Below are 23,014 nucleotides of genomic sequence, written 5' to 3' on the forward strand. Positions count from 1 at the left end.
GAAGGTTTATTTTGACAACCTTTTCTGAACACTTGCCTTGTCCATTAAGTGCTGATACAGTCTTTCCACTAAGATTTCCTTATTTGCTCTGAGTTTCACAGGGTTTGACTTCCATAAACTACGTATGCAGCTCCCAAACGCCTTTTATTTAAACTCCTCCTATCGATTGGCATAAATTTAAACTGTACTGATATTTTGGATGCCTTTTTTTCATTCTCTATTTACTACTATGAACGTGCCTGAGAAACAAAAGAAGGAAAAAGAAGGCACTCCCTTTAACCTCACGTATGCGTCCATGAAAAACACCCCATATTCTGCCAGTTTCTAATCCAAACGTCAATGTGCGCACCCTGGTGAAAACTACGTTCTTACCTAAAATTCTTCAGACATCCTCAGTCTACACAATTCCTCCATTTCTTACACTGGCTTTGATGTTTGTTTCTCACATCCCTTTTTGAATAGCATCTTCTCTTGTTCAACATGAAGCCTCGGGGCTTGCTTAAAAGCTCAGAGATGAGGAACACCAACTCTCTTTCTGACAGCTAACTTAAGAAATACACCTCACTTTCATTCTTAAGCCCAGCCATGAAACAGTAACCATAGATAGACATATATAAATGAGATGTATATGTGATTATTTCTCATGTAGTTTGCAACTTTATGATACACAGTGAATTGGCAATAAGTAATATGTAGTAATTATGAAATAAAATGTATACCTACCCCTGCATAGAACATTTTATTTCGAAAACGACTGTTGAATTTCTCTGGATTTGCTTCTGTGAAAGAGGAAAAGTAGTTTTGTTATGGAGACCTCACTAAAGGTAGCGACTTAGATTAGCACTCCTACTTCCTCCCCAGCTCCCTCCTATCCTACAGATCCAATAGATCCCATGGTTTGGTTATCATCTTTCCCCCAGTTCCAGGCCAGTTAGTACAGTAGCCCAGTGCTACAGGGACAGTAATCCAGGACTATAAATGTGTAGTTCCAAACCGGCATCACTGACATTAGCTGAGAGCTTGTTAGAATTGCAAATGATTAGGCCCTAGCCAGATCTACTGAATTAGAATGACTTGAGTGTGGAGTCTATACATCTGTGGAGGGGAGCTCTCCAGGTGATTCTCAAGCACATTAAAGATGGAGGCACTCTAGATGCTTTGTAAAAATTGGAGGGTTTCCAGGGATATCGGGCTGAGATAACAGGAAAAGGTGGAAGAAGGTGGAGAAGCGATTATTTACTTTGACTTTCATAGGGCATGACTTCCGTAAGCTATGTATGCAGCTTCCAAATGTAATTAAACATGTTTTTGAGTTTGATTTGTGTTTGGAATAAAGTAGATATAAAATTGGGAATTAATGCCAGTTTAATTATTCCTTCTAAAAGAAATACAATATATGTAGTTATGCTGAGAAGTGTCCATTTGATGGGCTATATTTACATCTGTGCTAAAAATTCTTTCCATAGTTAAATTTTTAAAAATTCTCCTTTAATGAGATTTATATTAATTGCCTATTTTTATGTAGATGTATTGGCATAATTCTCAACTTAAAAGTATTACATTTTCTTGACTAATACCTCATAGATTCTACTATCCAAGCTTATTTTTTTCACAATGGCTTTCATGAGCCTTTGTGTTACCCTTTAGGTATTTTATGGCAAGTGATCCATGAAGCCGCAGACAGTGCCTGTGTTGGAAAACAGTTTAAAGTCTCACTATGAGTTTTCTTGGTTTGAGAACAGCCACTCACTATCTACTGACAAAATAAGTAAGCTTGCCACAATTAAAAATCTGGTCTTGCTTATCCTGTTTTTTCTTCTATAGCTTAGCTTAAGATTTCTTGACTAACTAGTTAAAAATAGGGGGAAAATACAAATGAACAGAAACAGTAAAAAAAAAAAAAAAGAAAGAAAAAAAGGCTATTTGCTTAATTATATATTTCATAGACAAATAATTTTTTAATTTACTATTTAAAAAAAGCAGAATAACAGCTACTGAAAAGTCCATACCTCTGGTCTAAGTGTATCAGCAAAATCTGGTTCCAATATCTTATAGTTATTTAATTTTTTTACCACCTCTATCCCACCTGCATGAATATTTACCTATTATTTCCAATTAACATAAATTCTCCCTTAACAGCCCTTCAGTGGCTGATTTTCCTCAAAGGCTCTGATTTACATGCAGGGGAAATGTTTACAATTCCATTTCATACTGCATCAAAACACAATAAGCCTTAGCAATAAACTATACAAAGATTAATGCTTGACATCTTTAACTAATTGTTTTATAATCACATACATATAAATGTACATGTTCATACACTCAACAATTTGCATATTCCACTCTAAAATAGTCCTACAGCTTAAAATAAAAGAGAAAAATCACTTTCCCCAAAAGAATTTTCTTCTAAGCCTGGTCTTCCCATGTAAGGGTCTCTCCCTGCTCCCTTCTCACTCTGATGCATAGAAACTTCATCATAGTTCAAGGAAGTGAATCATTAGAAAAACTTCCGGATAAGTTAGACTAAATATGAGACTCACTTGAGCTCATTGAGCTCATTGAATGAGCTCATTGTTGGCCACTTATTCATTTAGACCTCTTTTCATGCCTATTTTTGGAAATCCATGTATTTGTGATAATTGTGTTACTTTACAAGTATTATTAAGAAGTTTGGGGTATTTTATTAAGAAGCCCAGGATCTGGATCCTGCTAAAGAATATGAGATAAAAAATGGGGTAAGAAATGAAGAATAAAATCCCCCATGTACTTCCCAAATTAACTCTCCTTAAATATAAGAAGGGTAACAGGTCATAAATGTTGGCCCCAAGGTAAGTCCCTCTGAATACCTAATATCCAAGAACTGTCTAAGGCAGGGAGGCGGAAAGTGGTAGTGTTTCTGACTCAGGATATTTGAGGTTCTGTTATCAATCATGCCTTCTAGCTGTGATTTTTCTGGCCAATCAGAGAGGAATACCAAACTATGGCTTTCTCTTCAAACAGCATCATTCCTGCTTGGCACAGAATTTGACCTTTACAGAGCCTGTCCTCTCAAAACCTTGGGAAACCAGGAAGGTCAAAGTCTGCTAACATTGCTGGATCCAGTAAGAGACTTTAAAGATCTGTTCCTTACTTGTATTTTATACTCTAGTGGTTTTTAATCCTGTAGCATCACTCTTGACTTCTAGTGCATAAGTGCATGATCAGAATTTTCATGTTATTACCAGAATCTGAAAATCTGAATTCTAGCTTTTAGTGCTCTGTTATTTCAAATTCCAAAGTATGCAAAAATTCTAAACACCACTTCCTTTCTTACATAACCTGGAGGGAAAAAAGTAAAGTACTTCTCATTTATGACTTTATCTCACAAGTCTCTTAACAATCTACATCCTAGCATGGTTCTGGTTATATATATTCAGAAGGCACTAGGTACAGATATAGATACAGGCATAGACATGGATATATAGTATAGCTATATTAATAAGAACAGAGTTTAAGAGACAGAATGAGACAGAAAGAGAGAGAGAGAGAGATCAATCGGGACTACAAAACATAAGTCAAACCCATAAACTTTATCAGTTCTAAATGGCATGAGAAAATGTTGATGAAATATTTAATAGCATATCATTATTTCATCTTCTCTTTCAAAAATTCTGTTCCCCTAATCTTGACTCCATCTCTTTTAGTACCTGAAATCACTACATGGTCTCATTCACACCTCTGTATCATCCAGTGGGGATCCCTAGTACCTTCCTAATTAATCCCATCACCATTACATCCTATGCTTTCAACCTAAACTACCTATAGCTCCTCTATTGTTCTAAGATGCCTGTTGTTTCTTTTATACAAACAGAGGGGACATTTTTGTTTTTGCTACCATATTTCAATGGCTGTGGTTGTGTAGTATTGCACTTTAATAGTGTTTTGTGAAGCTAAAGAATATCCTAGTGACTTCAGTAATAGTCTCTATCACTTCTTAGTATTTTACTCACTTCAAATCTTCCAGTAGAACATAAAGATTAACAATCCCAAGACCTGGAACACACATCTAGTCCTGCCCTTTACTGTCTTTAAGACCCTGGACAACTAGGTCTCAGGGTCCCATTTGTCTGAACAACTAGGTCTCAGGGTCCCATTTATAAGAAGTTCCTGTCCTGTCTAGCTCCCAGAGTCATCCTGAAGGTTAAAATGAAACAACACTGAAGCACACTGTAAACGCGTAAGTGATATACAAACAAAAGGGAACATGCAAAACACCTGCTAGAAACTTCCTCCCTGGGAGATGGAAATGGGACGTTGTCCTCACCTCTGGATTCATGGAACTCCAGTGTGACATGGGCATCAAATCCAAGGCTGAAGTAGTTATTGAAAACATTCAGAGGGAGCTGCAATGATAAACAAAGACAGAGGCAAAATTTTGTGTGGCCAGGCAGAAAGAGAAGAATAAAACCTAAAGCTGGACCCCTATCTCTGAAGAAGTCCCTAGGAGACAGATCAGCCACAACTCAAAGTGGAGGGTGCTTATGTAGAAAGAACAGGAAATTATTGGATTAATTCATGAGTGAAAGCTAAAATCAAGTAATTTTCTCAAGAATTATAAATAGTATAAGAAATGTGTCACAAATACAAATTATTAAATGAGAATCATTTTTATAGATGCTGTAATAATAGGAACTTGTTATGCTGAAGGATATATATTTGCAATAGTTACAGAGAAGAATTCACTAAGCAAACCTAGAAAGTAAATCCAGTTGTAAAGATAATGTCTAACCAACTTAATCAGTGGATGTGCGTTTTTCAAGAATTTATATTCAGCAAACCAATACTGTAATGTAAAATGAATATTTAACTTGTTTATCCATCACCCATTTTCTCTCTCTCTCTCTCTCTCTATATATATATATATATACACACACACACACAATCTTTTTTACAAAAGTCATATAAAAAATAGGGCAATGTGACCCATTGGTTATTGCTGGCCTAGAGAGAAAAACAACAACAAAACTACCTATTACTATTATTCAAGTTCTCATTTAATCTATCAACCCTTATATCTTTATTATGACCATGAAATCTGAAAACACAGCCACACAGATACACATGGAAGCTTTAACTTTCCTTCCTAGAGTCCTTTGGGTCTCTGGCTGTTACCACTGCAAGCTGAATGAAGAGAACTCTGCAGCCTCAAATCCTGCATTAAAACTGCAAAACTAATGTGATTTTAAGCTTCAGTTAAATGTTAGAACAATTAAGAAAGCATGCGGAAAATGTGAGAGTGGGAATGGCTGGTTCTCCCGCTTTTCCTTCTGCGACTCAAGTGGAAGGTAAATATTAAAGTAAATAAAGACGAGAAATGTTTCCAGCTAATTATCCGGTTTGTGTCCCAAATTGAACTGTACCTGTCTTCTCTGAGAGATAAGTGTTTTAACCCTCAAGATTTCAAAAGTATGTTTTTTACAGTGCTTCATATGCCCCTTGATTAGCAAGATTTTCTGTTTCACTAGAAGGAGAACTTCCTTTCATTAAGAAAAAAGTGAAATAAGAGAGGGAACAAGACAGATATAAATGCAGAAAAAAGAAAATTGGATTGGCTTGGTCTCTAATGAAAGTAAGGAATGACCCCACATGGAAGCTCTTGATTCAAAGCCTATGTAATGATTCAGAGTCCAAGTGAGCCTTAGAAATGGTCTCCACTAAATGAAGGACCGAGAGAGAAACTAAACACATAGAACAATGCCAAAATCATGTCTTACTCTTCAGCCTTCTTATTTGAGAATATCCAGTTCCTGCACTTAAACAAAATACCAGTTCTTAGTAATGACAGCATGGGTTGGTGATCCTGCCAAAAGCACAGACATGTTCACCTCCTCTACCATTTATGTTCTTTTGGCCACAATTCTAACCCATGTCTTAACATCTACTGATAGCTAAGGAGAACATCTGGTCACCATCACCTAAATCATATCCCAATTTAGTCTGTTTTTAAGTTATTTATATTTTCCAGGAAAACTTGCCCCAGTTTCCCATACATCTCTTTAAAAACCCATTTTAAATAAACCCTTTAATTATCTGGATTGGTGTTCCCTGGCTACACCAAGAAGTCTTTCCATTTCTTAAGCTGTTGGAAAGAGAATTAAATATGGATTTCTATTGCACGTCTAACTATTCCAAGTTTAGTAGGAAAAGAAACTTACAATATCCATATGGTACTCTTCTTTATACTTTAGCTGTTTTCTATCCAATTTCTATAAGTCAAACACATTAAAAAAAAGCTTCGTATCTCAAGATGACACTTGTTGTTTAAACAACATTGTGACATTATAAACTTGAATTCAGCTGAGCAATCATGATATCTACTAGAAATCTACTAGAATTTCAGGATCATGGTTTAGGTGAAAAAACCATAAAGACAGAGTAAAACATGTTTTAATCTAATTTAGCCAAGTTAGAAACTTGAAAATCTATTAAATTATAATATATGTAATTAAATTGATCAGGATCACGATGCTAATAAATGGGTGTTGGTTTGATCTAAATCTAAAATGATATGGGGCTTAATCTATTATAAGATGGAAATACCCACAAAATCTTAGCCTCAATAAATGGCATGGTTCACTATAATTGGGATACCATTTAAAGTACAGATGTCTGGGCCTTAACTTGCATTTACTTAATCAGAATCTCTGGTGACTGGGCCTTGTAATCTGCATTTTAACAAACACACCTGGAGATTCTTACACATACAGAGTTTAAAAATTCAATCATAGAAGGAAAATGGAAAGTAATATGAGGGAAGTGGCTACTCAGAAACCTACCAAATTTATCTGAAATTGAGGCCATAATTTAGAACCAAAGGACCAACTGAAGGCTCACAGTACTAATTACAACTATTCATATATCCCTTGGTTTGCTTTTCGGTTGAAATAAAAGCTCAATCACTAAAAGAAAACATAAAGTCTGGACATAAAGATGACAACAATAGATACTGGGGACCACTAGAGTAGAGAGGGAAGGAGAGGGGCAAGGATTGAAAACCTGTTGGTTAACATGCTCACTATCTGGGTGATGGGATCAATCATACCCCAAACCTCAGCATCATATAATATATCCATGAAACAAACTTGCACATATGCAGTTTGAATCTAAAATAAAAGTCAATTTTTTTTTAAATAACATGAAGTCAAAACATTTATTGAGGTATCTTCAAGTCCCACCCAAGTGGTAACACTGGCATAGTTAATACCTCTTCAACGTAAGATATATTTTATATCAGGCCAGAAATCTCAGGAGGTTATATTTCTACTGAAAGAACAAGTGCCCAATGCTTACAAATATACATATTTTTTCATCTTCTCATAGGTTATTTGCTATTAACATGAATGATTAAGACAAAATACATGCCTTTCTAGTGCAGAAGTTGAAGACAGAGAAGAGCTCCCTGAGCTTTGGAAGCAGGTACGGAATCTAGGTATTTAGAGGTCTATGGGGCAGAATCATTAGGTGGTAATATTATACACATAGCCCCAGTAGCCATCAACTCAAATATTATCACATTATCTCATAGGAATTCATCAGCACATGACTCTCCAGCCAGGATTTTTTTTCCTGTAGCTCAGGCAGATGCTCCAGGGCTCCTTTCTGCAGAACAAAAAACTCTCTAACCTTACATACGCCATCTTCAAGTTCTTCTGGAGGCAAGTCGGGGTTTCTTTCCACATGGAGGTTCCAGCGATCTAGCTGTACAACTGTCCCATCTTCCACTTGACACAGGATCTTAGAAACAGGTTCATCAGTGTAGCCCTGAGGAATCAGAGAACATATCCATTGCTGTCCAGAGTGGAGAACAGTGAAGCCAATGCTATTTTACGCAAGGAAGAGCCAAGCCGTTATATTGTTTATTTTATAATTAGCAAGGTTTGAAGAGCAAATTTTTTACCTTGAGGTACTTAGAATTTGAGACAATACTATAAGTAAGATACATAGAAACACTAGTTCTGGCTGGTTTGAGCTGAGGAATATTTTTTGTCAGCAGCAAGAACCAATAGTCACCGGTACACATTAAGGGTCATACTGGAGGCTGGATGGCTACTTTGTTATCAGAGTAAAAAACAGGACTCCCCATGGCTCTCACTGGAGGAATTTGGGGGAAACACAAAACAAATGTGTTTGGAGAGGCAGGGAAAGAATCAAGGAGGGATTGGATTGACAATGCTTATCTATTAACACTCCCTCTCAATCACCTCTCCCTGACCTCCTTGGAAGACACCATTCTTCCCGTGACCTGAAGCAAGTCTCACTGAGGAATGGCCCTGTTAGGGAGCTACTTAATCCTTGAAGATCCATTACTGACAGCACGATAGACTGTCCTCAATAGGATATGCAAGGCTCTGATTTGGAAGGGAGAAGTTAACACTGATGATAACCTTAGTTGCCCCATGTAAATACGTTTTTTATTTCTACACTGCCTACTTTAAAAAAAGACCTGTGGAAGGTTAATTTGCCCAAAGGTCAACTAGCATCTACTAAATATCTGAATATAATTTTCACAGAGCCCAGCCCATGTAATGCTCTCATATGAGCAGATAAAAAGTTGGTGGGGACCAGGTGCAGTAACTCAAGCCTGTAATCCCAGCACTTTGGGAGGCTGAGGCTGGTGGATCACGAGGTCAGGAGTTTGAGACCAGCCTGGCCAACATGGCGAAACCCTGTCTCTAATAAACATACAAAAAAAATTAGCTGCACAGGGTGGCGGGCACCTGTAATCCCAGCTACTCAGAAGGTTGAGGCAGGAGAATTGCTTGAACCTGGGAGGCAGAGGTTGCACTGAGCTGAGATCGTACCACTGCACTTTAGCCTGGCGACACAACAAGACTGCATCTCAAAAAAGAAAAAAAAAAAGTTGGTGGGGCTGTATATGTGTATGCATATGTATATATACACAGTGTGTGTATATATATTGCGCCTTCTTACTATCTTAGTACTATAACATACGTAAGTAAATAAATGGCTGTTTAGTGACTGCAGAACGATTTCCCCCAAGCTTGCCTGAAGTTGGCTTCATTGTGGAAAGGACAGGTAAGTACCTATACAGCCAAAGCTCTGATGACACTAATCAAAACAAAACAAAATAAAATGCTAAAAAAAAAAAGTCATAACTCTCCCAAGTAAGGTGTGTAAAGTTGAACCAGATGTGCTATCCTAGCTGGGGCTGAGAGTCTGGATTAACTGAAGTCTGTATGATCCTTTTGCACGCAGACTTGAGGCCAAACTCACCCACTGTCTTTTAGTGGATACCTCAAAAAGCCGCAGGCCTGTGTACTAACCACTATATTTCTCTCATACCAAGCTTTCCTTTCCCTTCTAGCTGATTTTAAGTTTAAACTGAAGAAGCTACCAGATCAAATAAGGGCTCAAGGGCACTTTGATTCTCAACTCTAACTTATGCCTGGGACAGCAGCAGCAGTACCCCCCTCTTCCATTAGAACATCAGTGGATCTGGAATCCGGTTTGTTGTTTGATGATATGGGCAGTCCCCGAGAGCAGTTCTTACCCCTCCCCAGTTGAGAGTTCGAGCCAGGTCATTCCCAGTCCCCAGAGGAAGGACCCCCACAGGAGGCTGAGGGCTCAGCTGCAGTTCATCCAGGATGGAAAGGATCCAGCCCACCTACAGGCGTATCGGGGGCCAGAAGAGATATAAGAAAGATAAATAAGTTACAAAGAAAACAGTTTGAGAAACAGAGGCTTCCAAGAGCTAAACAGAATGGTTTTATTTTTCTTTAAAACATGTATGTTTTCATTCAGTGAGTAGGGAACAGAAAGGTCGCTTATCACAGGCAGTTACAAAATGGTTAAAGGAAAAAGGACCATTTTGCACATGTTCTATCACACAAGCAAAACTAAACCCATTCATGCGTGCGTTTAACTAGAAACACCCTTGTAAATTTCTCAGAGTTTAAGACTTTGGTAGTATAACAGGGCATAGGAGGGAATATAAAACTCAGAATAAGACTGAATTTCAATTCTGACTCATGCTGGCTGCATAACCTTGACTAAATTATTTAACCTCACTGAGACTCATTTACTTGATTTTCAAAATGGGGATAATAATACGTACCTCACACGATTGTTTACTAATTAAACTAAAATGTACATAAAGCACTTAACATGGTACATGGCCCATATAAGTACTTATTAAATGGTTGCCCTCTATAGTATCATCTTGGAAATTGATAGTGTTTTCCTGAATATCCCTCTATTTTCCTTAATGAAACATTATGAAAACATAATTATGGACAGACCTAGTACCTATTATAAGTTTAGGCAGGAAATTGATACTTATATACTAGAATCATATCCCTGTTTAATCTTTTTCTAAGATAAATAATACTTTGGGTTTAGTCTTATAACTAATTAGAAAAATTGACCAAAATTTGAAATGGCAAAAAGGAGTTTGAATGTCCTTATAATGTCATACTAAAATAGTGTTTCGCAGGCCTAAGAATTGTGTAACTGTAGGTTAACATAGATTTCTGTCCTATAGAGACACAAATGTCAAGAAGAGATGATTGCTTTAAAGTTTATAGTTTTATTCTCTCATAGGACGTTGATCAGTTTTGCATCAAATTTAGAAAAATTATTTTGATACGAAGTACATAATTCTTTTTCTCTAGTTCTGATAAATCAGCTTTACTATCTTGCAGGCTCCCTCATTAAAGAGCTAAGCAAATTTTTTGACATGTATTCATTCTATATTTGTACGAGTCATGTTTCTCAAAAATACTAGATCATTTGTTTATTGAACACTACTTCATATAAAACCCAGAACTAAGCAATCAAAATAAAGAGATAAATGAGCTAGGCTGTGACAGATAAGGTAGAAAGATTGCTCTCCAGGAGTTCACAGTAACACAAAGATGGACATACCGATGCTTTTTTTTTTTTTTTTTTTGAGATGGAGTCTCAATCGGTCGTCCAGGCTGGAGTGCAGCGGCAAGATCTCCGCTCACTGCAAGCTCCACCTCCTGGGTTCACGCCATTCTCCTGCCTCAGCCTCCCAAGTAGCCGGGACTACAGGCGTATGCCACCACGCCGGGCGAATTTTTTGTATTTTTAGTAGAGACGGGGTTTCACCGTGTTAGCCAGGATGGTCTCAATCTCCTGACCTTGTGATCTGCCCACCTCGGCCTCCCAAAGTGCTGGGATTACAGGCGTGAGCCACCGTGCCAGGCCCATACCGATGCCTTTCTATGTGCCATGCCTGAGCAAAGTCCTTTAATGAATTATTGTATTAAACTTTAAAACATTATCTGTAAGACAGATATTAATGTAATTTTCATTTCCATCTTATAGATAAGGAAACAGAGAATTGGAAAGGTAAGTGACCTCCTTAGTATCACACAGTTTACACGATATAGATGGCATTCAAAAATAGGAATGCCTAATGCCAGTGGCCAACCCCTTAACTGCTAAGGTATAGGGAACCCTTAAATAAAGAACTCAACCCCCTTCTGGATATGGCCAGACCCTCCTGGAAGCAGTGGCATGTGATTTTTGGAACCTGTGGAGATGAAGAAACCTTAAACATTGCTTAATCAAATTCAGTGAACTTGCAGATTGATAAACTGAGGTGCAAAAAAACCATGGAATTTTCTCAAGACCAAATGATTAGAAGTGTCAGAGTCATGGTAACGTTGGTTCTCCTGACTTCCAACTAAAATTCTTTCTCCTCCACAAAGGTGACTTACCAGGATGTAAAACTTGCTCGTCTACCAATTATGTCTAAAATTGTGTTCATCTTCTAAAAAGGCAGACCACATGGTTCACCCAATGTGGTAACTAAAAATCCAGACCTATAAATGTCAAAAAGTCTGTCCACTTCCCTAAACTGGGGAACTTACTCCCAGACAGATCCTTAGATTCTGACCCAGAGCTTCTTTAGTCTCTTCTTTTACGTGCAATACCAACAAAGCTGGCTACTGAAGTCCAAATAAAAATGCCTGATGCTAAATTAGTTCTGATGTTTGTGCTTGACATTGTTTCTGCACTGCTAAAAGCACAGATTAAACACAGTAAAAGTAGATAGTTCTAATAAACTGCAAGAAGGGGTCTTAAAGGCCATAAAAAGGACATAAATACTCAGAAAAAGCCCACCCATCTGGGATCACCAACTGCAGAAACAACAGCCCTGAATAGAGCCAGACTCACAGACCCACCAGAGAACTCAGTAGAAATCTAATTCACCACCCCTTCCAAAGAAGGAAGAAGGCATTCTCCTTAAAACTTCTCTAAGAGACAATCATTCAACCTCTCCTTTATGATTTGTGCTCCCAAGTCAGCCCGTTTTCTTTCAGGCAGATTTAAATTAGACATTTTTCTTATGCTCACTTGAAATATGTCTCTCTTTTCTGGGTAAAGAAAATGCTATGAGTTTACACTTTCAATATCCCATTTCACTCAGACACAACAATGATAGAAAAGAAAAAAAGAAAGAAAAAAAAAAAAGACGCAGCTTCAATGGGCCAGAAAAAAAATACAAAGTGGCAGAGCTGGGGTAAAGGCTTGGATCAGCTTGGCTCCTGGTCTTGCAAATAGCAGAGGAAGCTGGGATTTTGGCTTGCCTGATAATGGAGAAATAAAAGTGTGTGCCCTACTGACAGCAAGCTGTCCTGGAGCACGGCTCTTTCATAGCAGGGAGGAAGAGAGGAGGAAGGAATGTGAAAACCAGTCTGAGGTCATGGCCCACAGAAAGGTGGGACGTACTATGGCTGAAAGAAGCCCAGAAAGCCTCACTCTGGTAAGTGCTCAACCCGACTTCCCAAAAGCCCAGTGACATACCCCTGCCATCTCCCCAGGGTGGAGCCATAGGAATCTATAGAAAAACCCAGCTCTCATCTGAAAGTCCTGAAAACAATTCAATATTACTAGAAACCAAAGGGATTCAGAGATAGAAAAGTAAAAATTAAATAAAACAACTTCCTGTGAAGATGAGCTTGCAAAGAAGAAACAATTCCACAGTGCAGGAGGAATGCTAATACTAAAACAGATGGAACGTTAGGGGGTTAATTCACTGCCCATGGAACACAAACAATTTCCAAATGACTCTGAAGTACGTGACGTATCCCACAACTTCTATGAATCGATGCTGTGTTGTTGTTTTTTTTGTCTTTTTTGAGACAGAGTTTCACTCTGTTGTCCAGTCTGGAGTGGTGCAATCTCAGCTCACTGAAGCGTCTACCTCGTGGGCTCAAGCGATTCTCCAGCCTCCGCCACGCGAGCAGCTGGGACCACAGGTGCAAGTCACCACACCAGGCTAATTTTTGCATTTTTTGTAGAGATGGGGGCGGCTTTTGCCGTATTGCCCAGGCTGCCCCCAAACTCCTGAGCTCAAAGTGATCCGCCCGCCAAAGTGCTGGGATTACAGGCATGAGCCACTGCATCCAGCTGATGCTGCGTCTTCTAACAGCCCTCATTCAAATCTTCTAGGCTGTGTTCCTAATTGTTTTCTCAGAGAAGGTTGTCAGGAGTTCTCGTGATACTGAGCTACGATTCCTCACAAAGGCAGAGCCCACAGGGTGCCTGGATTTCTCACCATCTCTTCTCCTTTTACCCTTGGTCTATGCAGAAAAGGACAAGTACACAGTGTGTGAATGTAAAGGTGCTTCGCCTCTCATCAATCAATTTGCTTTATGAACCGGATAAATAGATTCTTTCTCCTTTTTTCTGTAGCCAAATGATCAAATATGTCATTGTCTCCTGAATATAAGCAGAAAATCTTGCATTTCATCATTCCATCACCCTTGGAGTCATCAAAGGCCTCCTGCCTTTCACAGCACAGATTTTGTTTTGTCTTGAAATTCTCCCACAGACAACCAATATTAGGCTAATAGTTCTCTGGCTGAGGTGGGTCTATATCGCCCCTCCACAGCTCCTGAATAGTTTTTTTCAGCCAGCAGCTCTATCAGCATTCCCCAACAGCCAGCATTCCCGGAAGACAGCACAGCGCAGAAGTGTGGGGCACCGAGCTGAGCGGCAGGGAGCTCAGCTCCACCACAAATTGGCTGGGTGAGTTTAGGCAAGTCATTTAATCTCTCTAAGCTCCCCTCACATCTGTACAGCAAGAGTAATAATAATGCCTGACTTTTAGAGTTGTTTCATCAACTCATGTGTAGACATTGCTTAGCTAGTGCCTGACAAACAGGAAATGCTAAACTAACATTAGCTACTATGACTCAGCTAGATTTTGCTACCTCTTTCCAACCTTCCTCAATAAAGGCCCAGTTTCCTAGAAGAAAAATGCCCTCTTCCCATTTCTCCACTTAAAGTTGAGCCCTGAGTTTGCAAATCAGCCCCACCTTCAGCTGCCATCAAATCAGAAAGCGTTTCTTTTGCAGACTGTAAAGAACAGTAAAAGCAGAGGTTCCCTGCAGTAAAAAAGGGGCTATAAAAAACAAAATGGAAACAAATACACACTTACAATAGCAGGAGACATTAAAAATCTTGGGAAACAATCTGTGTCTTTGTCCTTAGAGAAAAACTTTACAAAAGATCTTAAAGCTGTTACTGGAAGCTCTGTCTTTACAGTAATCCGGAACCCGTTTCCACCTGAAGTCCAGACTGCACATTGAAAGGTTCTATGGGCAGGAACTCTGCCACGGCTTTCGTATTTTCCCAAATCATCTCCACCAGCTCACCTAGCACCCTTTCAATTAAATTATTTAATTAACTGCAACTTATTGCACTTGGTATATTTTCCACCAGAACTGAAGAAAGTTATCCTGATTGGGCCTAATGATTTTCCAGCTTGCAAAGTTCTTTCCTTCCTTCCTAGGAAAAGCAGGGCTGACAGATTGAGAACACCAGGTCCTCCGCTTTGTCCCTGAGCAGCCATGCACAGCAGCAGCTGGTCAATGCTGCCACCATCTGTCCGTTTTTAGCATTAGTTGTCACTGAATGTTTACCAAGTGCATTTTGAGCAATATTTTCATTCTGCAGTATACTAACATAAGGGGTGGCTGAAGGGTGGAGATGACAGCAAACTGATATTTTCTTCCAAGAGAACAGATGCACGTTGCGCTGCCTTGTAGTACATGCAGGCCAAAAAGCGAAGGACACTCACGTTTGGAAATCAAAGGAAAACAAGAGTTTTGCTGAGCTCTGAAAGAAAATGACCACACAGTATTGGATGACTGGGGGACCCTTTTGAATATGTGCACAATAATTCTTCCTTTTGATATTTTAATGTATGTTTGCACTTAATAAAGCCAACATGTGTTAAAAGAAATGTGCTTAAAATTAGCCCAAAAGAAATCAAGATAAAAATCAGAATATGACCTTTTCTTGAAACAATATAGAATCCACACTGAAGGTACACTGTGTGCTTACTCAGTGAGAGAGGATGAAATATAACTAGGCTGAGGATGAATGAGGAAAGGGGCTTAGGATGAGGGATTGTCCCTATCAATTAAAGGAAAATAATACTTCCTTCTTTGCATTGGCTGTGGTGAGTCAGGGCATGGGGATGTCTACCATTTGGGATGCTTTTTCATCTAGAAAAGCCAATAGAACAAGAAATAAGCATGAAGTGGATGGCTGGAGTCAATTTAATGTCAGGCCTTTTGGAAATAATTAAAATGGTTAAAGGTGGACTTGCAGATCCAGCCAAGTTCACCAAAGTCAGGAGCCAGATAGATAGGGACCATGGGTCACACACCTTAAGGAACCATAATGAGAGTACGTGAGCCTCAGGAGATCAGTTCATGTGCTCGTCAATATTTCAGCAGGGTGACAGCCATTAGGAGTTGAATAGGTGTCAACGTGGCCAAGGAAGTGAGAAAATACAAATTTATCACATGACCAAAGACAGGCTATTTCTCATTTATAAACATGAAGGTTTGAGATCATTCTTGAGTGAGCTGAATTTATTGCAGCCAAGAGATCTGAAAATGGGATCAGACCATCTGACAGCTGTAACTATGTGACAGCCTCTGAACTGTGCAAGCCAGTAACAAAGAGACTACACCTGCACTGTCCAACGCAGCAGCCATTGGCCACATGTGGTGATCCAGCACTCGAATATAGCTAATCCAAATTGGATGTGCTGTAAGTATAAAATATATGCTAGATTTTGAAGACTGTACAAATAGAACATAAAATATCTTAACAATGTTTATAAATTAACACATATTGAAATGATACTATTTTAGATAAATAAAATATATTATAAACTAATTTCACCTGCTTTTTACCTTTTTAAAAGTACCTTCTAGAAAATTCAAAATTGTACAAATGTGGCTTGCATTAAAGTTCCCTTGAACAATAGCCTATATTATTATAATGCTACAGCTATAAGAACCTTAGAGATCTGAATGCATTTCTTTGTAGATTCAGAAGGTCTCAAAAGAGGTTAAGGAACCTGCCAAAGGTCACAGAAATGAGAGCAGAACCACCTCTTTCACCTCCACTTCCAAGTGCATTATTGGGGAATGTTTCCCTCTGCTTTCTCATATTTTTTTCTTTCTTGAGACAGAGTCTCACTGTGTCACCCAGGCTGGAGTGCAGTAGCACAATCTCAGCTCACTGCCACCTCCACCTTCTGGGTTCAAGTGATTCTCCTGCCTCAACCTCCCAAGTAGCTGGGATTACAGGTGTGCACCACCATGCCCGACTAATTTTTATATTTTTAATAGAGATGGTGTTTCATCAGATTGGCCAAGCTGATCTCAAACTCCTGACCTCAAGTGATGTGCTCACCTCGGCCTCCCAAAGTGCTGGGATTATAGGCGTGAGCCACCACACCTGGCCTTTCATGTATTTTTTAAATAATATACAATTAAAGTAGCTAATATTGAAGCCTAAGAACTTTTTTCCAAAGTAATGCAAACTTTCTATACCTTAAATAATACTTTCTATACCTTAAATAATACTCTTAATTTAAACTAATACGGTTATGGGGTAATATAGCCTCATCCCAGTCAGTGAAAAATATTCAATTTCTGATTTCTCCCTAAGCTTTGTCACTTTACTGGCAGCATTCTGCCAGCTTCTACAGTGACAGATGTGCTCACTAACGAAAGGCTGAATACCTTGTGTCAAATATATACCTGAATTCAGAATTATACTCCACTTGCCTAAAGCCAGCAGTTTTCTTCATGAATTCCTCAGGCTGTTTCCTCTATATAAACTCTGCCTCCGCCCACAATTAAAAGTTTCATTTTCTAAACTAACAAAACAAAAAAAATCAATCACATACCATGACAAACATTTCATATACCCCATGTTTTTCACAAAACATCTTATCCTAACAAGGTAAATTAAATAAAACTTGGGTTTACATAAGGTACAAGATAAGCAAAGTTTTGATTCTAAGTATTTTAACTACAGATGTTACCACTGACAAAAATAATTAGTTTAAATGTGCCAACTCTAGGGTAAACGTACTACTTTTATTTTAGGCATGCTGAATGCAAGTGGCCATGGGGCACCCAAGTGTAAATGACTAGTACATTTGTGAATTACATCAGAGGAGGTAAAAACAGATGTTAAAATATAGATAATGTCCCTAAGAGGAAAAGGTACCTACCACATTAAAAAAATTAGTTACCCTTATGGAATACTCATAGTTATGCTATCATTAATGAAGAGTTGCTTGAAAAGACTGGATATGAAAAATAGGAGAAGTAGGTAGTCTACATGTCAGGAGGCTGACAATGGCATCAGAGAGATCACAGACATTCGAAACTGTAATCGGATCTGGCCATTAGGAATTTATTAAGATTGTACCAACTTTCACTTACTCATCATTCTGGGTTTTGCCCCACATACTCTATTGAAACTGCTTTCTTGAAATTCCATATTCAATGGTAACTTTTCAGTCTCTCCTTAAAAATGTAACTACTGCCTCTTTCTTGAAACTCCTTTTTTGGTTTGTTTACTTGACAGAACAGACTGGTGGCTGTCCTATTCTTCTATTTTTTCATTTATTTTCCTTTTGGACTTTGGCTCCGGACCCATAATTATACATTTCACAAGTGTGTGGACTTGGCTCTCTTTCCTCTTTATCTTTTATTCATTGGAATCCCATACTTTCAAATATTCATCTAATTGCAGAGAATATCTCAATACTACATGACCTAGCACAGTGCTTCCTCCACATATCTGCTGAGTAAAGAAGGAAAACGGGCAGGCAGGGTGGTTCACACCTGTAATCCCAGCACTTTGGGAGGCCGAGGCAGGTGGATCACGAGGTCAGGAGATCGAGACCATCCTGGCTAACACGGTGAAACATCGTCTCTACTAAAAATACAAAAATTAGCCCGCTGTGGTGGCACGTGCCTGTAGTCCCAACTACTCGGGAGGCTGAGGCAAGAGAATCACTTGAACCTGGGAGGCAGAGGTTGCAGTGAGCTGAGATTGTGCCACTGCACTCCAGCCTGGGCAACAGAGTGAGACTCCGTCTCAAAAAAAAAAAAAAAAAAAAAAAAAAAAAAAAGAAAGAAAGAAAAGAAAAGGAAGAAGAAAGGAGAGAGAATGAGGGAGGGAGAGGTGGAATGGGAGTTTCCATGGAGAAAGGGAGGCCTGGGAGGTGGAGCACCCAAGGCAACAAAGAAGTCCAAGATCTGGGGATGTTATGCATAGCTTATGTGGATTTGAGTTAAGAAAGAGGAAGGACGACATCCTCAACTTATCTGTTTTTGTCACTGAGGTTTAGAAAAGGAGAAAAGATGTGAGTGAGATGCTGAAGTCATATGAGAAGGCAAGTAGATGCTAAAATAAGGAAGATAACTATGGGTATGGTAAAGAGTCACAGTGAGTTTACCCTTTCATTAAAGATAACTAAGCTGGGGGATGCTTGAGTTAGGAAGAACACAGTATATCCATCCTCAGAGGGTTCATTTGGATGTAATTCTTACTAAAGAAAGTTGGGAAATTTTGCCCTACCATATCCCTTAAATTGATCTCCCTAGAACACTAAAATCAATTGAAATTGGTATTGTGTGGGGGAAAAAAATTCCATGGCCAAATAATTTTGAAAAACGTTGGGTTTAAAAAAGTTAAATAGGTTTGGCTTCTTTGCTGTAAGACATTATAATGAATTTTATAAACTAATAATGTGTAATATGAACCTTGAAGAAAGATAAAGACTATTTTTCCCAACTGAACATTGTTTTTACTCTCCACACAGTATCTGAGAGACCAATAAAAATCACAGTTCTATTTCATTCTCATTGCATTTATTGGTATATAATGTGTATCCAACCCTACATTAAGTGCTTATGTGCTAAGAGAGATAGTATTCGAAGATTTTGTTGCTACCTTTGAGAATAAAACATTCTAATTAGGGAAATTAGAGAAAAGCTAAAGATAGTTCATAATACATTCGTAGATCCTATGAGATCAGATTCCAAATCCGGAAGAAAAAGAACCAGACAACACAATCTAAATGTCATGATTCTCAATTCTTTACTTTGTTAAATATATCACCATAAGTAGAGGCCAAATGGAGAAAACCGATGAGGCATAATAAACAGGAGAAAATATATCCATGATATTAACCTTCAGCCCAATTCCACCTTTTTTTCATAAATGAATACAAACATACAGTCAGAAGGAATAAGTTCTAATGTTCAATGGCAGAGTAGGGTGAGTACAGTTAGCAACAATGTATTATATATTTCAAAGTAGCTAGAAAAGAGAACTTGAAATGTTCCCAACACATAGAAATGATAGCCTAGGTAATGGATACCTCCAAACCTTGACTTGATCATTATACATTCTATGCATATAACAAAATATCACACATACCCCATATACAGGTAAAGTATGTCAACAAAAAAGAACATAAATAGGACCAATTAATAATCTTTAAGGCAAAACAACACTCAATATTCTGAGTTTTATTCCCACTAGTAAAAAAAAAAACATAATAATTCAATTGTGTCCACGTATTTCTCCCTACTGTGGCCAAATTATTAAGAATAAATGGAAACAGTTCAGCTTATATTTTAAAAGGAATTTATCTATCTATAATCTTCATTTTAAGGATTTGACCACATCCCTACTTCATGGCACACAAAAGAATACAGCATAGTTGAAGGAGTGAAGCACACATTAGAAGGATCAAGTATGTATTCATAAGGACAATAACAAAGTCCCTTGTTACTCTTAGGGGCTATGATTCACATGAGAGATATACATGTGTTAGGGGATTAGAAAGACTGAGCAACGAATAAAAAGAAGTGCCACAAGAAAACAATAAGAAAGATAGAATTGGCAGAGAACTGGATTCTCTCTCAGGGACCTACCGTTCCATCCCCACCACAGGCCAGAATTCGCAGATTTGGTACTTTCCTATACAATTCAAGCCTGTAGAGGAAATAGAAGAAAAAGTAAACAAAAGAACATTTCACTGGCTAGAGCAGAGAGAAAGCAGAGGACAACATGGGTAGGTAGGGGTGGTGTCCGCTGGAGAAAATGTGTAATCATGAGGATGACAATGCTATCATAGGTCCCAAGTAACCACAGGAAGAATGACTCCCACCAGTGGAACAGGTGTAGGCATCAGACATTATTTTTGAATGAATAATTCAACGTTGGAATTTAAGGGATTTTAGGATGTCCTAGTTTTATTTCCCATAACTTCTATTATATGTCAACATTATTTTCCTCGTTAGTTTTGACTTCCTTCTTTTTCTTTTCCCATCATTTCCTCTTCCCCTTTCCCCAAGAAAATCATCATTAATTGATAATCAGTAGTCCTTATATATCCCCTCTTTATATTTATTAGTTTTCCCTGGATGTATTTACTTCTTCTAACTTATACTTTCTACTCTTAATCCTAAGAAATCTTTTTCAGCGAGACGGGGAGGCTTCCGCACTCTCAGATGTGAACACAGGTATCACATCTACAATTCCATCTAGTCTTTCTCTCAGCTCAGTTACACACCACTTACACCTCCAACCCAAAGTGGGAAGATTGACTGATTTTTATTTATTTCAAACTTCTCTGCTTGAAATAAGATAATTTTGTCTTTCCTCTTGGATCTCAGGAAAATGCATTGACACTGCCCCTGCTAAATCTTTTGCTTAGGTGAAGTTGCTAGAGGCTGTAATCTAGAAAATATCACCTATTTAAATCACAAAATATGGTTTTTTTCTGAAAATATTTCCTGTCCTACCATGTTCTTTACGGTGACCTCTGAAGTGTCTCTCTAGGGTCTAACTAAAGTGATAAAATCTTAAGAAAAATAAGCTCCTAAAATGGCACATCCCAGGATAGCAGATTTGCCTTAGCATAATCAAGTACAGAAAATAAAAATAAATAAATATATATATATGTATTATGGGACAGAGAGAGGAAGAATCTTGCAGCAAACTCAACTGGTGAAGAAATTCATACGTTAAGAAAATAACAAATTAATTTTCATATTTCCTAATCTGCATGCTTAAAATAAGTAATTTATCCATTTTATACAAGAATACTATTTCTCTAGAAATCACCTTTTCCTCTGATATTGTTACTTATTAAAAAATAAGTGGTACCCTTGTGTTCTAACATTTATCAGATAACATCTGAACTATCCTAGTACATGAATTTAAAACGGAGAACCAGAGAACAGCAGAAGTGTCCTTGGTCTTTTCCACTGTGTGCCTCTCCACCAAAGGAGAGAAGCAGGATATGGGTCACCTACAATCTAGACTTTATTTTAAACACTTCTAACAAAAGCAGAGAATGAGATTTCTGAGAAGCTCAGAAACGGGATTGAGCAGGAATTAATATGTCTTCCCCACATTTGTGCAGAGTCCTCAGGTATAATCAATTGATTCTCTCTCTCTCACACACAAGCGCGCGCACACACACACACACACTCTCTCTTTTCAGTTCAAATATTCATAAACAAACATGGCTCCACCCTCCACAGACATACATTTACATTCCATTAATGTGCATCTCCAAAGTTGTACATGAAGAAATAGAAAAACAATGAGTCCTTTCTCAATTCACAGATTTGCAGAGAATAACCTACAGTTACACATACGTAAGTAACAAACACACTAGACGTATCCTGAGTTAATAGCTGAGAAGATATGTTTCGAAGGGAACTAAGCCAATAAAGAGTAGGAGAGAACTTTGGATGAAGTTTTAAAGGAAGGAGAGTACAGGTGAGAAGGTAGATGACAGATGGTCAGGATATACCTCACAAGGTAATCAGATAATGAAGCAGAAAATTCTCACTTGCCTAAAATACATATGGACCATGGAGAATATTTCCAGACTTACGCATCTTTTGGCCCTTCCTGAGAAAGATCAAAGACTTGCCGTGGATTCAGGTACCACATGAACATCTGCAGGACTTTGGTTCCCTGTAAAAAATAAATACACAAAAAGGCAATAATAGGAAGAAATTTCCCAAGAATAACTGCTCATTTAAAAAATAAATACTTTTATTTAAAATAATACACAGGGCACGGTGGCACACGCCTGTAATCCCAGCACCTTGGAAGGCTGACGCAGGTGGATCACTTGAGCCCAGGAGTTTGAGACCAGCCTAGGCAACATGACAAAATCCCGTCTCTACAAAAAATACAAACATCAGCCAGGTGTGGTGACACATGTCTTTAGTCCCAGCTGAGGAGGCGGAGTGTGCAGTGAGCCGAGATCACACCATTGCACTCCAGCCTGAGTGACAGGAGTGAAACCCTGTCTCAAAAAATAATAAGTGAGTGAATGAATGATGAATAAATAAATAAAATAATATCTAATTATAAGCAGTATAGAAGAGTAGTTAAAATCACGGGCTTTGGTCATGGATAGCCATAGGTTGAATGTCAGTTTAGATGTTTATCTAACCTGTGTAACTCTGGGCAAGTTTCTTCATTTCATTTAGCTCAGCCCTCCTTTTCTTTAACACAGAGACAAGAATACCCAGTTTGCAGACTTGTTGCAAGGATTAAAAGCCATAATTTTTGAGAAGTACATCACAGTGTTTAAAATGCAGTAAGCCCTTAATGAATAATA

General features: G+C 38.2%; 1 protein-coding gene across 9 annotated transcripts in view, besides 4 other annotated features; it reads right to left on the minus strand.

The window, feature by feature from the left end:
• DGKI (diacylglycerol kinase iota) overlaps positions 1–23,014 on the minus strand; it is a 465,938-nt gene that overhangs the window by 196,510 nt on the left and 246,414 nt on the right. For 8 of the 9 annotated variants that reach the window (XM_047421022.1, NM_001321708.2, XM_047421021.1 and 5 more), the window contains 6 exons: positions 22,277–22,359; positions 20,301–20,361; positions 9,551–9,664; positions 7,663–7,800; positions 4,304–4,382; positions 724–779 (listed from right to left, as the gene is read on the minus strand). In XM_047421022.1, coding sequence (XP_047276978.1) covers positions 724–779; positions 4,304–4,382; positions 7,663–7,800; positions 9,551–9,664; positions 20,301–20,361; positions 22,277–22,359 — 531 coding nt within the window. Of the gene's footprint in view, positions 1–723; positions 780–4,254; positions 4,383–7,662; positions 7,801–9,550; positions 9,665–20,300; positions 20,362–22,276; positions 22,360–23,014 lie in introns of those variants that run through there. The other variant, XM_047421023.1, reaches the window with a different exon arrangement.
• Positions 12,890–13,390: an enhancer, noted in NCBI's record as "H3K27ac hESC enhancer chr7:137275182-137275682 (GRCh37/hg19 assembly coordinates)". NCBI's record gives its function as "activates a minimal SCP1, AML or CMV promoter by ChIP-STARR-seq in primed H9 embryonic stem cells {active_cell/tissue: H9 hESC(primed)}" and the evidence as "EXISTENCE:reporter gene assay evidence [ECO:0000049][PMID:30033119]".
• Positions 13,391–13,891: an enhancer, noted in NCBI's record as "H3K27ac hESC enhancer chr7:137275683-137276183 (GRCh37/hg19 assembly coordinates)". NCBI's record gives its function as "activates a minimal SCP1, AML or CMV promoter by ChIP-STARR-seq in primed H9 embryonic stem cells {active_cell/tissue: H9 hESC(primed)}" and the evidence as "EXISTENCE:reporter gene assay evidence [ECO:0000049][PMID:30033119]".
• Positions 13,391–14,724: a biological region, named in NCBI's record as "MED14-independent group 3 enhancer GRCh37_chr7:137275817-137277016".
• Positions 13,525–14,724: an enhancer, noted in NCBI's record as "MED14-independent group 3 enhancer chr7:137275817-137277016 (GRCh37/hg19 assembly coordinates)". NCBI's record gives its function as "activates an origin of replication core promoter dependent on BRD2, BRD4, P300/CBP and CDK7 cofactors, and independent of MED14, by STARR-seq in HCT116 cells {active_cell/tissue: HCT116}" and the evidence as "EXISTENCE:reporter gene assay evidence [ECO:0000049][PMID:35650434]".

This window comes from Homo sapiens, chromosome 7 (assembly GCF_000001405.40).
Source record: "Homo sapiens chromosome 7, GRCh38.p14 Primary Assembly".
Classification (NCBI taxonomy): Eukaryota; Metazoa; Chordata; class Mammalia; order Primates; family Hominidae; genus Homo; species Homo sapiens.